Source organism: Homo sapiens, chromosome 3 (assembly GCF_000001405.40).
Source record: "Homo sapiens chromosome 3, GRCh38.p14 Primary Assembly".
NCBI lineage: Eukaryota > Metazoa > Chordata > Mammalia > Primates > Hominidae > Homo > Homo sapiens.
In genome coordinates, this window is record NC_000003.12 from 40,595,783 (window position 1) to 40,610,511 (window position 14,729).

Below are 14,729 nucleotides of genomic sequence, written 5' to 3' on the forward strand. Positions count from 1 at the left end.
GGTAAAAAAAAAAAAAGAAAGGAGAAAGTGTAATCATTCTTCCAACAGGGCCACTGCTCTTCCCTGGGGAAAGAAACTGTTGTGATGAAGGTGAGAGCAACAGTGAGTGCACCATGACATAGCGCAACCAGCACAGTTTTAGAGCCAGATATTACCTGGGTTCCAATTGAAGTCTTACTTCTTACCGGCTGCTGACCTGAGGCAAGTTGTCTAACTCCTTGAGCCTTAGTTTTCTTATCTGGACAATGAGAATAATCACTACCCCACAGAGTTGTTGGCAGATAAAAATCATATATGTGAAGAATATGACACATAGTAGGTATTTATAAATGCTAGTTGTTTTTTTTTCAGTATTCAGTTTCCTTTAATGACCCCCATCTCCCTGAAGGGCAGGTGCAGGCAGGTAGGCAATGGCAAGAGTTGCTCATTTGATGATTTTGCCCTGACTGAAGGCTTGGCCCACATGCTAGAAGGCCCCCTCCCAGTAAAAGTACTCTCGAACCAGTGCCTGGGTCTCCTTGCTGCCAGGATCCAGTTTCCACTATGTATATGACTTGTAGTCTCACCTGCCAATCTGGACTCAGCGAAAAGGGAAGCTCCTGGCCCTGGAAGACCCAGACTCAGAGCTGCTGTTGTTGGTTCCAAAGAAGACACTGACAAAAACATTCTTCCACAGCTTGGCCAGTCACTAGAATATTCCAGTGATGAGATTGCAACTCATGAAGATCTGGGTGAGTTCTTCAAGGAAGTGATACTCTGAGAACCACAGGAACCAGCTGTCCTTATTGAACTGCTCCCAAAAATATGGCAGCACCACAGAGAGTGTGTCCTCCTTAGAGTACCTGCACTGAAATTTATCCAACACAAAGGTACTCTTGGATGGTAAGTGAAGGGGTCCTTGGCCTTGGGCTCAGCAGCCAGCACCTGCTCACATTCATCCATCTCCTCCTCAGAAGCAGGGGCAGCTGCCTTTTTACCCTCTTTCTGCTCAGCCTGGGGCTTCTGCTTCCCTTCCTGTGAACACTTCCTTTTCCATGGGGTGTCCTGTTTAGGGTGGCTCTCTGCAAACTTTTTAGCATCAAACTGGGCCATGTTCTCACACAGACTCACTTCCCCACAAACAACCTGGAATTGGGGCTGGTTAATGCAGGTGAGGAACCAGCGGTTGGTATTGGGGAAGGCCTGGTGGAAAGAAGCCTCCAGGACCTGCTTATAGAGCTACAACAGCATGCAGACAACTGTGATATCAGCCAGTGGCACTTGTTCACCCACCAGAAAAGTCCTCATCTTCAAGTGAGCATGCAGCAGCCCCAGAATTCACCTCACCTCCTTCTTTGCACTCTCAGTGGCCTTTTTGTTATGCTGCATGATGCCCACGGTGAGGAACACCCAGGTACTGGCACTGTATCGCTGTCAGCAAAGCTCACCCACTGCACCACTTGGGCTGTTGCCGCTGGAGTACTTCCCTGCAGCTCCTCATAGTAGGCAATGGCATTGCTCTCAAACACACAGAATCCATCATCACCCTCTAATACTGGAAACTTGCCGGCAAGAAACTTGCAGAGAAATTCAGGGGTGTTGTTGGTTTGGCCAAAGTGGGAGTGGGGTGGTGCGGAGAGCACGTGGACCTGAGACTCGCTGTACTGAGTAGCAATGAACACCTTGAAGGCCCTCAGGTTTTCAGGATATGAGTACAGGGTCCCAGCTGCCATGGTGATCCTGCAGAGAAAGGGGGTGTTGCTGTTATTTTTATCATATGCCTGATTGAGGCCCTCTGAGGAAGGCCTATAGGCAGACTTTCTATCACCTATGAGCGAGGCAGTGGGGAAGGGAGGCAAGAGGAAAAGACATTGTGGTCAGGTGAGTCACACCACAGTGGTAGGATGGGGCTGAGAGTTGAATTCCTGGCCCTTGGTCCATAGCTCAGTCTAATTAAAGGAGCCAGATTCTTGATGAAGGTGACGCTGGGTCTTTGGCTTTTGGGTCTGTACCACAACGAAACAGAGCACCCCTTGATTCTTAATTTGGTCCCTGTTCCTTAATCCATTGCCTAAATGATTAAAAAAACAAAACAAAACATACCAGCCCTGGGGACAGGTACATGTTTTGCTCTCTGACCCTAGGCCACCTTGCCCAGAGAGGAGGCCGAGCACTGGGCAGCCTTGTTTATCTGGCCTCTTCTCATCTGGGTTGTGGCTTTATCTGGATAGAGTCCCCAGCTGTTGACTTATGTTTCTCCCCCATGCACTTCAGGACAGAGAGCTGCATCCATTGGGATGGAGCACCCCTACTGAGTGACTTCTCTGGCCTTCTTAGGACACATTACCCTTAGACTATTCAAGTGTGTGTTTGTGTGTGGGACCAGGACAGGGTGGCACAGAACTCTAATTCAGATTAACAGGAGGTCTAAAAGGTGAAAAACTCCATAAAGAATATGAATCAGAAACAAGAATCACTTCACAAAGAGACTCCCTTTCCCCTTTCTCTTTCCCTCATTCTCTCCATTGTTTTGATAAATTTGATTCTCACCCCAGCTATGGCATCATGGTAAAGACTAGACTTTTTTATATTATCAGTTTTCCCCATAAGATGGAGTTATTCTGAAGAACTGAGCTACCCAATGTGAGCTAGTATGGACTAGTGGCAAAGTCAGTGGATTTGGGTAGAGATGGCCTGAGTTTGTGTCCTGGCCCTGTAACTCTGGGGATGTGAGACCTGGAGTAAGTACCTACTCTGAGCCTAAGCTATCTTATATATGTAAATGATCTTGGTTTGCTACATTTTCTAAGAGCCTCAATTTTTTTGCAATACTTGTGTTCTGATTGAAACTGGAACTGTGACATGTTTTGAGAGTGAATAAATACTCTCAATTTATTGAGATGAATCAATATTGAAATGTTAGGTGATTATAATCATGCCTTGGAATGTTCTGGGTCATGTTGTTACTGAGGAATGGTTTTGCTATCCATGTGCATAGAAGTCAATACTATAGGATCAGCTTTTGAGAAAGGAAAAAGCTTTATTGCAAGTAAACTGGCAAGGAGACAGGAGGCAACGTTCAACACTGTCTCCCCGAGCTGCGGTCTAGGGGCATATTTTAAAAGCAGAGAGTAACAATGAGAGAGATAGGAAAATGCAATGAGGCACGATCTAAATTGGTTTATGCAAAGAGGTGATGCTGAGTCCTTGGCTTTTGGGTCTGTACCGCAACGAAACAGAGCACCCCTTGATTCTTAATTTGGTCCCTGTTCCTCAATCCAAGCACTTAGGTTCCACCTGTGGTTGACTTTGTTATTCTGGCTGGCATTGGGGTCACAAATTGGGCATGCTGGTTCATCTGGGTAAGCTCAGGTTATGTGACCTGCAACCTGAGAGTCCATTGCACTGAGAAACAGCTCATTATTTTGTTACTGACAAAGTTGAACCACATCGAAGTGGTTCTGTGGTTACAATGTCAGGATGTCAGAGAAAAGGCCAAAAATGTTCTGAGGTACTATGTGGGGGAAGAGCCAGAAAAACTGCAGATTTTGCATAAGGAAAGACAAATCAATGTCTCTCATTTTTAATGTCAAGAATCAGAGCATTGAAAGAATAAAGATCTCACACAATATGGACTACGGAGCATGACAACGGGTTATTCTTGGCAATCCTAGAAATAGCAATGGGGCCCAAACTCTGCTTTTCTATATTTGTCCTGCTCAAAAAGAACAACATTGGGGGCCATTGATGGCCAGGTGCCTAGGATCAGTCTTCTTAGTGCCTAGGATCAGTCTGCTTAGAGCTAGAGTTTCATCCAACAAAGCCACGGTTTCTGCACTAGCGATGTCCTGAGACTGTGGAGAGCTTGTTGTTTGAGAGGTCCTACACTGGGTGGGGACATGAGGGGAATGGGAGAGTTTCAGATTGTTCACTGTTTGACTGTCTTCTCATAATCCACTTCTGCTTTAAGAGCCTGGGAGACCGGCTATTAATGGGGAAGGGAGGGTACTATATACAAACTTTGATGGACTTGGGTTGAATCTATGGTAAAATGTGCTTACTGGAAGGTGAGGACTGTAGGAACTCTGAGTTTAGCAAAAGGCAGTGACTGGAAAGAACCTGTGTCCTAATAGATTTCAGTATAATGAAGCTAAACCAGGAAAGGGAGAAAGCAGAGGTTTTTGGATTTTAGGTGGCTTGTCAAAAGCTTCTTCAAAAAAGGTTTGTTATTGTTGTTGGTGCTGGGTCTTCTGACTCTGTGGAAGGTGCCCTAGCACTCCTGCCCATAGCTCCTAATCCAGGGGTCTTTCGGAACATCTGTCAAAAGGGGTACAAGATAAGTATAATAAAAGTGCTTTGTAAACAGTGATCTTCATGAAACTTTAAACTTGTGTAACCATTGTTAATAATACATTGATCTTCAATGGAGTGCTTTCATTAATTACAAATGAGGTATAGAGAAATCTCTCCCTAATATTTGGTTGCAAGTCTTTGTTGCTGTTCCAAGAAGAAAATTCTCCTAGGAATGTACCTTCGTGGAATCATTTCTGGATGACGCCATTTTCTTCTAAGTGTTTATTGGTGAACCTCTGGAGCAATATCATCCCCAAGATACATTAGTTTGAATAATATCTGACCTCTTATTCTTTTTAAAAAAGGAGAATAATCTTGGTAGTTTGCCTGCCATATGTTGTATGTGACAATTTATTTTCTTTAAAGGAGTTAGAAAAAGAGATTTCTATTCTGGTAAATTGGGAGATTGGAAAATCTGAAACCCTTCTATTACCACACAACTAAAATGATAGATAAAATGTAAGAGACATAATTTTAAATGCATGGATGGCCTTGTAAAAAAATGAAGAAAGTTTTCAGAGACCAGGGATGAAGTGAGAGTGGGAATGAATAAGCACTGATGTTACTGGCTGTCTGGGGGCATCTGTAGCCACAGACATGGAAGGAGACAAGGCACCAAGCCTGGAGAGAGTTGGAGTGGTATCTTTTCTCCACTCCATATGAAGATATGATCCACAAAGGGCTACACTCTCAGTAAAAAGTAAACCAAGAAAAACCCTCCTGCAGAGGCAAGATGCAAGAAAACTTGCCTGTCTCAGCCTAACCTTGATTCTGGGTAAAGGGGAAAATATATCCTCTATGTATCAGTGGACATGGGTTGGCCCTGGGGTGGGGTTGGTGCCAGAATGCCTTTTGCAAAGTTTGATAGTAAGCAAGCTAAAATTTTGATGAATTGGAAACGAGGCCCCAAAAGAGAAGAAACACACATACACACAATCATGCACAAAGGAGAAACAGGATTAATAGCAAGGAAAAAAAATGGTAGAAATAAATCCAAATACATTTGTAATCACAGTAAATGTTAGTACACTAAACTGTTTAAAAGACATAGATTACCAGACTAGAGGAAAAACCCCAAAGTATACTATTATAAAGAAAAAGAAGAAGACAGCAGAAGTTTGAGAATAAATAATACTAAAAGCTATAACAGGCAAATAGTAACAAAAGAAAACTGGTTTAATAACACTAATGTCACACAAAATATACCATGATCAAGAAGCTATTTCTAGAGATTGATAATTCTTATATAAGAATAAAAGTTTTAGTTCACTAGGAGGACATATTTCTAATCCACTTATACTTAATATCTCTGAGTTATGTAAAATAAAAATTAACAGAACTGTAAAATCCCCAGAATAGTAGGATATTTTAACATATTTCTCTCAGCAATAAATAGATCAGAAAAGAAAATATGCAAGAATAAGGAAAACTTGAACAACATAGTTACTCATTCACTCATTCAATATTTCATTGAATGCCTATAATGTCAGGCATTGTGCAAGACACTAAAGAAACAACAGTGACAAATGGGTTCTCTTGGAGAAGTACTTACACCAGGAGATATACTCAACAATGTCCATAACAGTATTGTTTAATAGCAAAAAGTCTGGAAACAATACAAACAACATTACAGAATAGTGTATTCGTATACTGAAATACTATACAGCAGAGAAAGTAATGCTACACATTTTAATGGAGAGTACAATCAGAAATATAATGTTGAATAGAAAAGCAAATTGCTGAAGAATTAATACACTGTAATATTATTTCTATAAAATTCAAAGGAATGCAAAACTAAGTCAAATGTTTTTTAGAAATACGTACATCTGTTGCAGAACTATAAAGAAAAGGAAGGAAATGTTAACATAAAGTTTAAGAAAGTGGATCCCTCTGTGGAAAGATGATGTCTGCCATCAGGGGCACTAGAGAACTTCAAAGGAAAGCTCCCTGTTGTTCATGTTTTATTTTTCAAGTTGGCACCAAGTAGATTTATGGTGTTTGTTTCATTATAATGCATATACTTTACATACACATTATATATTTTAGTTCATGTGAAATATTCCATAATAAAAATATGATAGTATCCCTATCCCTAAGGAACTTAAAATTACCCAAGGCAGGTAGAGAAGAGATAAATGAAAAAATATAAATGATGAGAGACTAGGACACCCAAAGGTCATTCAACCCAGGGTGATTTTAGAGATTAAAATGGGACCAGATGGCTGCACGGGGGCTGGGGAATACAAGGGTGAGTTAACAAGAGACCTGGTCTCTGACATTTTGAAGCTTGTCCAAAGGGGAATCAATGGATTTCTTTTTTCAAGAGGTTCTTATGTCCTGTGATAGCAGAAGGCATCTAATTTATGCATATGAATATAAACTCTGTGTATGTTTGGTTATTGCTGTAACAGGTCATGTCAAAACAATGGCATAAGGCAACAAACTTTTTATTATGCTCACAATTCTGTGAGTCAGGAATTTGGGCAGGGTATGGCAGAGATGGCTTGTCCCTGCTCTAAGTTGTATCAGGTCTTAACTGGAGTAGCTCAAATGGTTGGAGATGGTGGGGAAAACTTGACTGGGGCCATATATCCAGAACCCTTGGTTCTATCAGCTGGGTTCCCTGTTTTTTTCTCCACATGGCATCAGTCAGGTCAAAAACACCTAAAATGTTTTCACTTACATACTTACCTCCTGGGTTGTAGAACTGAAACAGCCAGGAGTTGGTTAGGCAGTTTTCCATGCAGCCTCTCCACATGGCTAAGCTTGGGCTTCCTCACAGCGTGGCAGTCTCAGCATAGTCAGATTTCTGACATAGTCCAGGCTTCCCACAGAATGAGTGTTCCCAGATAACAGGGTTGAAGTTGCAAGGCTTCTTATGCCTAGACTTGGAAGTGATGCAGTGTCTCTTCCACCACATTTTATTGGTTACAGAGCTAGCCTGGATTCAGTGTGTGAGTAAGTGTATGTGCATGCTCATGAGTGTGTGTGTGTGTGTGTGAGTGTGACTATATAAAGACATAAGTACTGAGAGGCATTATTCATTGGGGGCTGAGGGGGCACCTTTGGAGACAATCTCTTACAGTGTATGAGCATATATCCCTGAATATGGAGAGAGGAGACAAGAGACAACAGCTGTAAATACCATGAAATTGGTCTGTACACAAAGTCTGTATATGGGATCCAGAGCTCTGGGATTTGTTGACTCTCTTCTCTAACCCAAGTGACTTTGGACTGTCACTTCCCTCCTTTGATATTACTTTGTTACTGAATGGGAGCTGAGGAGACCTGAGCCCCTCCTATTCTCTGAATTTCATTGAAATATAATGATTCATTCATTAATGATGGATTGAGGGTTGAAAAATAATGATATCTAGTTTTATCATTTATTTTTTCATTTATTAGCTGGAAGACTTCTCTGAAGAGGCACTTCTTTTGGTCTACTATTTCATTACCTAGTGGAAGAGTTCCTATAGAAAGTCAGGATTAATGATTGATTTTTTCCTTTATTTACAGGTTTTCGACAGAGGGAGACAACTAGACATTATGAGTCTCTTGATGGAAGAACATACTTCTAAAGTTCTGCCCCCACAAAACCAAACCTGAATCTGATCTTGCCTTTACACACAGCTACCTGTTTATAGGAAATACAGAGGACAGAGGGATATTTTGCACTATACCAAGAGGATGCAAAGACAAAAACAAGAACAAACTAGTAATGGCTTGTGGGAAACTTGATGGATCAAATTTCCTTTAACAAATAGAAAGGGGTAAGAGTGGGGGGTGAGGGAGAGAAAACCTATAAACAAAGAGACATATGAAACTAAAAGGCATATGAAATAAATTAAAGAACAGGCACAGGTAAATTATATTGTTCAGGGATTTATCCTGGGTGATAAAACTAAAGAATTGCAAGGAAGCAATTGTAAAGACACATGCATGCATATGTTCACTGCAGCAATATTCACAGTAGCAAAGACCTGGAATCAACCTAAATGCCCATCAATGATAGACTGGATAAGGAAAAATTGGTACAAACACACCATGGAATACTATGCAACCTTAAAAAAGAATAAGCTTATCTTCTTTGAAGGGACATGGATGGAGCTGAAGGCTATTATCCTTAGCAAACTAGCACAGGAACAGAAAACCAAATACTGCGTGTTCTCACTTGTAACTGGGAGCTAGATCATGAGAACACATGGGCACTCAGAGGGGAACAACACACACTGGGACCTACTGGAGGGTGTAGGGTGGGAGAAAAGAGAGGATCAGGAAAATAACTGATGGGTACTAGGCTTAATACCTGGGTGATAAAAATAATCTGTACAACAAACCCCCATGACACGAGTTCACCTATGTAACAAACCTGCACTTGTACCCATGAACTTAAAAGTTAAAAAAATGTGAGAGTAGTGGTCTTGTTTGGAGAGTGTGTTTGTGTAGTGATTGAGATGGGGCACACAGAAGGGCTTCTCATGTAGATGCAAGTTCTAGTTCATGACATAGGTGTAATTACAGAAGGGTTTGACTTAGAGTAATTCACTAAATTATATTTTCGTTTCATGAGTCTTTGTATATCCTTGTTTTATATTAGAAGAAAGAAAGCTTTTAGAAACGAGGAGAAGCATACTCACAATCTGGAAGCCCCTCAACCTCCCTCCATCCCCCCACATACACATGCTTACCTCCTCTGTTTAGCCTCGAGGCAGTGCTAGTCTCCAGGAAAGAATACATCTTTGGAATTCAGAGACCTGGCTTTGAATTCCAGTAGAGTACTTATTAGTTCTAGGGTGACCAACCCCTTTTAGTTTGTCTGGGGCTGAGGGGATTCTTGGGATGCAAGACTTCCAGTGCTAGACCCAGGAAAATCCCAAGCAAACTTGGACAGTTGGTCACTCTGAGTTACCCCCTGAGCCTCAAATCTCTTACTTGTAAATGGGGACATGAATCCCTACGGTGTTGAATTATGAGGATTAAAGAAAATGAGAGATATGAAAACCCTGAATATACTGTTATCAGACTGTAAAAACTTCAGCTCAATTTTGCTCATCAATTACTAAACACATATAATTATAGCTACCACATGTAACATTCACTAAGTGAGGCAGGCTTCTAAGTCCTTGCTACACAAAGTATGGTCCTTGGATCAGCACCACTGGAATAACCCAGAAGCTTGTAAGAAACATAGTTTTTCAGACCCCACCCCAGACCTGCTGAATCAGAATCTGTGCTTTAACAGGATCCTCACATATTTCGTGTGCATGTTACTGTCTGAGGAGCACTGCTCTCAGCATGTGAAGAAACTCATTTAATCCTTAAGACAATTATTTGGTTCACATTCTGATTCCAGAACCTCACCCAGTCTTAGAGTTCCAGTACCCAGCACAAGACCTGGCTCGAGGTAATGATCCTGAATAAATGTATATTTTATTCCTTTTCCTGTCTGGAAGAGTTGGGAGAGGGCTGCCAAGGGCAAGATCATGTCTGGGAAGGATTTACATTCCATAGGGTTTAGAGGGACTTGAACTCCTGAGTCCTGGGGCTTTATCTGTTTCAAGTTTATGGTGGAACAGAGTGAGAATCTGGATTCCTTATTCCAAAGCTCTGCAGCCATTTCTAGTCCATTAATTCACTCAATTCTTCCTCTGCAAGAATTGAGTGAGAATAAGGAAATCACCGGTTTGATGACCCAACCTTCTCTTTTGATAAATGGGTGTGTATGTGGTTGCAAAAGAGCCAGGAGGACCCTGAATGGGGGAACAGCCTTGAGAGCCAACAGCCAGGGAAGAGCTGGTGCCGTTTGTAAATCAGTGAATGGATTGCTCTGGGTATGTTTTGAAAGCTCTTGCTCCCCTTCTGGGTTCCTCAGCACTTGCCCAGAGGGAATCATTAATTAGCCTGATCACCTTAATTAAAACTCCCCAACAATTTTATTGGGGATTTATATCTATTTGCAAAAAGCTCAGTTTTCAGCCATTAGGTGCAATGAGCTAAACTCTGAGTCATAGTGGACTCTAGATTCCATCAACACCACCAGGGCTGAGCAATGCATGGATGACTTTGAAGGTTTTATGTACGTAGAATAATTATTACTACCAACCACCATTACCACCACTACCATTACTACCACCATTACTAAATAACAGCAGCTACTGCTACTATACACCAGGCACTGTGCAAAGTTTTTAAAATGCATTATTTTATTTCATCTTTACAGCTGTCCTATGAAGTAAGAATTATTATCCCTATTTCATAAATGCAGCAATAGAAATTTCAAAAGATTAAGTAACATGCTCAGTAGCAGAGCTAGTGAATGTCACAGCTGGGATTTGAATACAGTTAGAGTCCATGTCCTTAACCACTGCCTCCCAAGATGCCAAGGTTTTATTATGCTTCTCTCACTTTTGTGACCTCATGGCATTCCCATGAAGATCTTTCTCAACCCTTTCATTGGTAAAGGGATTGTATGTGTTGAAATGTTTTTTTGCAACAAATACCTGAGTACGTGTCTCTATCTGGCTTAAACTATCAAGAAATATGTCACCTTACATTATTGAATAATCATCCAGAGTAAGGTAGGCATCAGAGAGTGTATCATCACAGTGGCTCTGGAGCTGTGCCTCTGTGATCACTCTGGCTGGATTTTTGCCTGCGTGGAGACTTCATCCTCAGAGGGGCTTCTCTCATGGTGCTAGTGTGGCTATAGCCACCCTGGGCTTTGCTTCCATATGCCAGAGGAAAACAAAGGAGTGATTACTAGGAATGCTTTTTTTTACAGTGAGAAAATTTCCCTGCCTGAAACCTTCTGAAATCCACACTCATGTCTTAAAGTCCTGAATTTGTTCATCTGCACATCCCTGAACTAATTCCTTAGATCGAGGAGATGCCATGAGCTGGAAAAGGCATGGAAAAATTAAAAGTATACTTTTGTTATAGGTAGGCATAGGATTAAGCTGGTTGGGTTAAAAACAATAAGAGCATCATCCCCACCCTCAACCCCTAGATTGGAGTAACATTTCTCCCAGACTTCCTGGAAACTGCATAGTAGATATAGGATGAAAAAGATGTTGGGAAGAGAATCAAAATGTCTCATTACTCCTTCCTCCTCCTGCTGGGTCCTATTTTCTTGGCGGATACTAGGCAACTAACTAGAGCTATGTAGATGGCCTTGGTGTGCTACATTATAGTGGTTGGGGTAGACCTGTGAGTTGCTGTTCTCTTATAACGTGGAAATTCTATGGTCTTAACTTGAACTGGAACCATGGATAAACTCTTGACACTGTAGCAGTGGGTGAGTTATCTTCAGAAAAAAGCCCTTCTGATGTCTCTCATTGCACAAACGTTTCCGGATGGTTAAAACAAACTTAGTAGTCTTGTAGGAAGAACACTAAACTAGGGTTCAGAAGAATAAACAAAATGACTCCTGTAAAGGACCTCACCGAGCCTGGCATGTAGTAGGTGCTGGCATATAGGAGGTGCTGAGTAGGTCAGCCATGTAAAACATCATTACATCCATACAGATCTGTTTACCAGCTCACGGTCTTGGTCAGGTCACTTAAATTCTTGGAGCTTCAGTTTTCATATTAAAAGGTTTGGTTGCTCTTACCTATAAAATGGAAACAGTACCATCTTGCAGCATCTTGGGTGGGTTATTTTGTGGTTTAGATGAATAAAGGTGGTGGATGTGTTTGTAATCAGTAATGTAATGCTCAAAAGAGAGTAGCAGCAGGGTGCTTTGTCAATGCTTTATTTTGAGGAATAAATTAATATTTTCAATAAATGTTATTGAGTATTTACTATTAACTCAAATGTTATTATTTACTCGTGTTTGAGATGCAATGTTGAATAAGATGCATTCTTGGCCGGCAAGGAGCTCATAGTCTAGCTAAGGACACTGAGAAGTGACCAAGAAGTCATCCCAGGTCTCTCTGGGAGCCTAAAGGAGGACCACAAACTCAGTATGAGCAGGATCAAGAAAGGTCTTTCTAGGACATGACACTTGAGTCTGAGGGTGAACTGGAGTTAATGAGGAGGAGGTGGTTGGAGGCAGTGGAAACAGTCAGTGAGAAGATAAGTGCGATAGAGCTGGACCACTCCAGCCTGGCTGGAGCACAGCAGTGGGGGCATGGAGAGGGCAGGGAGAGGTTGGCACTGTCAGATCACACAGGGCCTTGTATGCCACGCTAAGAATTTGGAATTCACCCAGAGGGGAAGCCCTTTGTGAGTCATTAACACCCACAATCACTTTAGCTGCTTTGTGGAAAATAGATTGGAGAGGAAAACACTAGAGTAAAGAGACCAAGCAAGAAGCTATTGCAGGAATTCAGGAAGCACTGAAGAAGGAAAAAGAAATGGACATACCTGGATGATAGTTAAGAAGTCAAATCAACAGGATTTGGGGACTGATTGGATGGAGGGGTGACAGACAAAGATTTGAGGGTTTTACCAAGTCTCTGACTTGGGTGAATTGTTGAGGCCATTCAGAAAGATGGAGAAAGTAGGAGGAAGAGCCAGCTAAAGGAAGCTGTACACTTTGCAGGTGTCTAATGGTTCCGGATGCCACTCTGGAAAACCTCCCAAGGATGACTGTAATGAACATCTGGATCTGAGGTTGAAGCATCACTGTTGGGAAGAGTCTCTGTGCTCTTCTTCATGTCCTCAGTGAAGATGGCTTGGCAAGCAGAACACATCAGTGTTCACATGTGTGCCAAGTGGATGAGTCTATACATGCTGATAATTGGTATTCAGTCAACCAAGACAGGCAGTAGGAGGACTTTCGTCTGTGTTTTTGTGGCATTTGCTTGGTTTGTCTCAGACAGATTTGAATGTCTCTTTGCTGCTTGCAGATGTAGCTGCATGAGAATGCATTCCTTTTTCTTGTCCAAATATTAATAAAAATATTTTGCATAGAGCTGTGGGTGCCTTTCTGGAACATCTAAGGGCGTCGAACAGCTCTGGCTGAGAAAGAATTGATCCCTGCAGAGAAGGAAGCTGTGTCTCTGTGTTCCACACCCGAGTTCCTCAGCTGAGGATTCAGAGCTGCTGCTGGTAAAGGGAATAGGATTCTCACTATTTTTCAGAGGTGTTAGCATCTTCTGAGATGGCTCAGTTTCTATTTCAGTACTGGGAACCAATATGTCTGACTCTGTCCTGAGCTGAGCCTGGAAAGAAGACCAAATTCAATCCACCCAAGTGGAGCTGAGCTTAATCACAGGAAGCATGGTTTTCTCCCACATTCCAGGCCACTCACTACTTCTCATTTTGGACAAAGGAGCCCTGGGTGGAGAAGTGGAAAGAAATGAAGAAGGTGTGGTACAGGTGCCAGGCTAACCATGCATTTCTGTTTGCCCTTTAATTTCCAAGACAGCTCTGTGAAGGAGACAGTCTCATTCAACTTAGAGATGAGAAACAAAGCCAAGAGAAGCTCACTTTACCCAAGACCACACAGTGGCACTTTTAATATCATTGTGAATATATTAATAAACTCATTCTAAGTGAAAAAAAAAAAAAAAGGGACAGCCTGGGGTGAAGTCATGGCTCTAGTCCTAGGGCCATGCACCTTTCTCATGATGCACATTTCTCAATAGGATACAAGAAGAAAGAAGAGAAGATCCACAGGGAACCTGGGTGACAATCATGATTCCTTGTCTAAAATGAATACGACACCCCAAATGCCTAGGGAATCAGCAAGGTTTTGCTGAACTAATGGAAACCATGAAAACTGAGGACAGACTCAAGGTCCAAAATGGCCTCAAGGGGCTGAAAAAAGGCCGATTCTAACAAGATGATATGGAATGAGTGTCATATGTCAGATTCTTGAAAGCAGCACTAACTAGACCTGCCCGAGCATTGTTACAGGTGCTTTATACAGATAATCTCATTTAATGAGCACGATTATGCTCAGAGGTAGGCAGTGTCATCCCATTTTACAGAAAGAGCTATGGTGTAGAGAGGCTAAGTAATTGGTCAAGGTCATGATGCTAAGTAAATGGTGGATCCAGATGTGACTCAGGACGTGGCAGTCTCATCTGGAGATCCTTCCTCTTGACTGCTATGCATTGTCAGCTTCTGACAGCAGCTAACTCAAACCCCGCTGAGTGAAACATTAGTTGTGTTTCCATTAACGTCAAGGGAAGAAATAAGTATGCTCTCCATTGGTGCTATTTAATAACTTAAAAAATTGAGTAAATAGAGCAAAGGAATGAGCAGAATTAGGGCTGGGCTAATCATTACTCATGGATGATATTATCATCAGCTTAATAAAAACAAAAAGAGATTAAACTAAAAAACTATTTATAATAATATAAGATTGCAGTATGAGGGTGATATTTAAATGTAGCAAAATCAATGATTTTTCCATGTCAGTGATAGTCACTTATAAATCTTACTTTAAA

The 14,729-nt window shown here is 41.7% G+C and overlaps 1 long non-coding RNA gene and 1 pseudogene across 1 annotated transcript; one reads left to right on the forward strand and one right to left on the reverse strand.

Annotated features, from left to right (window-relative positions):
* Positions 347 to 1,737, reverse strand: EEF1GP3 (eukaryotic translation elongation factor 1 gamma pseudogene 3; annotated as a pseudogene).
* LOC124909369 (uncharacterized) lies at positions 464 to 12,144 on the forward strand. The gene is made up of 2 exons (XR_007095879.1): positions 464 to 882; positions 7,849 to 12,144. It is a non-coding gene; the product is annotated as an uncharacterized LOC124909369 (long non-coding RNA).
* Positions 12,145 to 14,729: the final 2,585 nt, after the last annotated feature.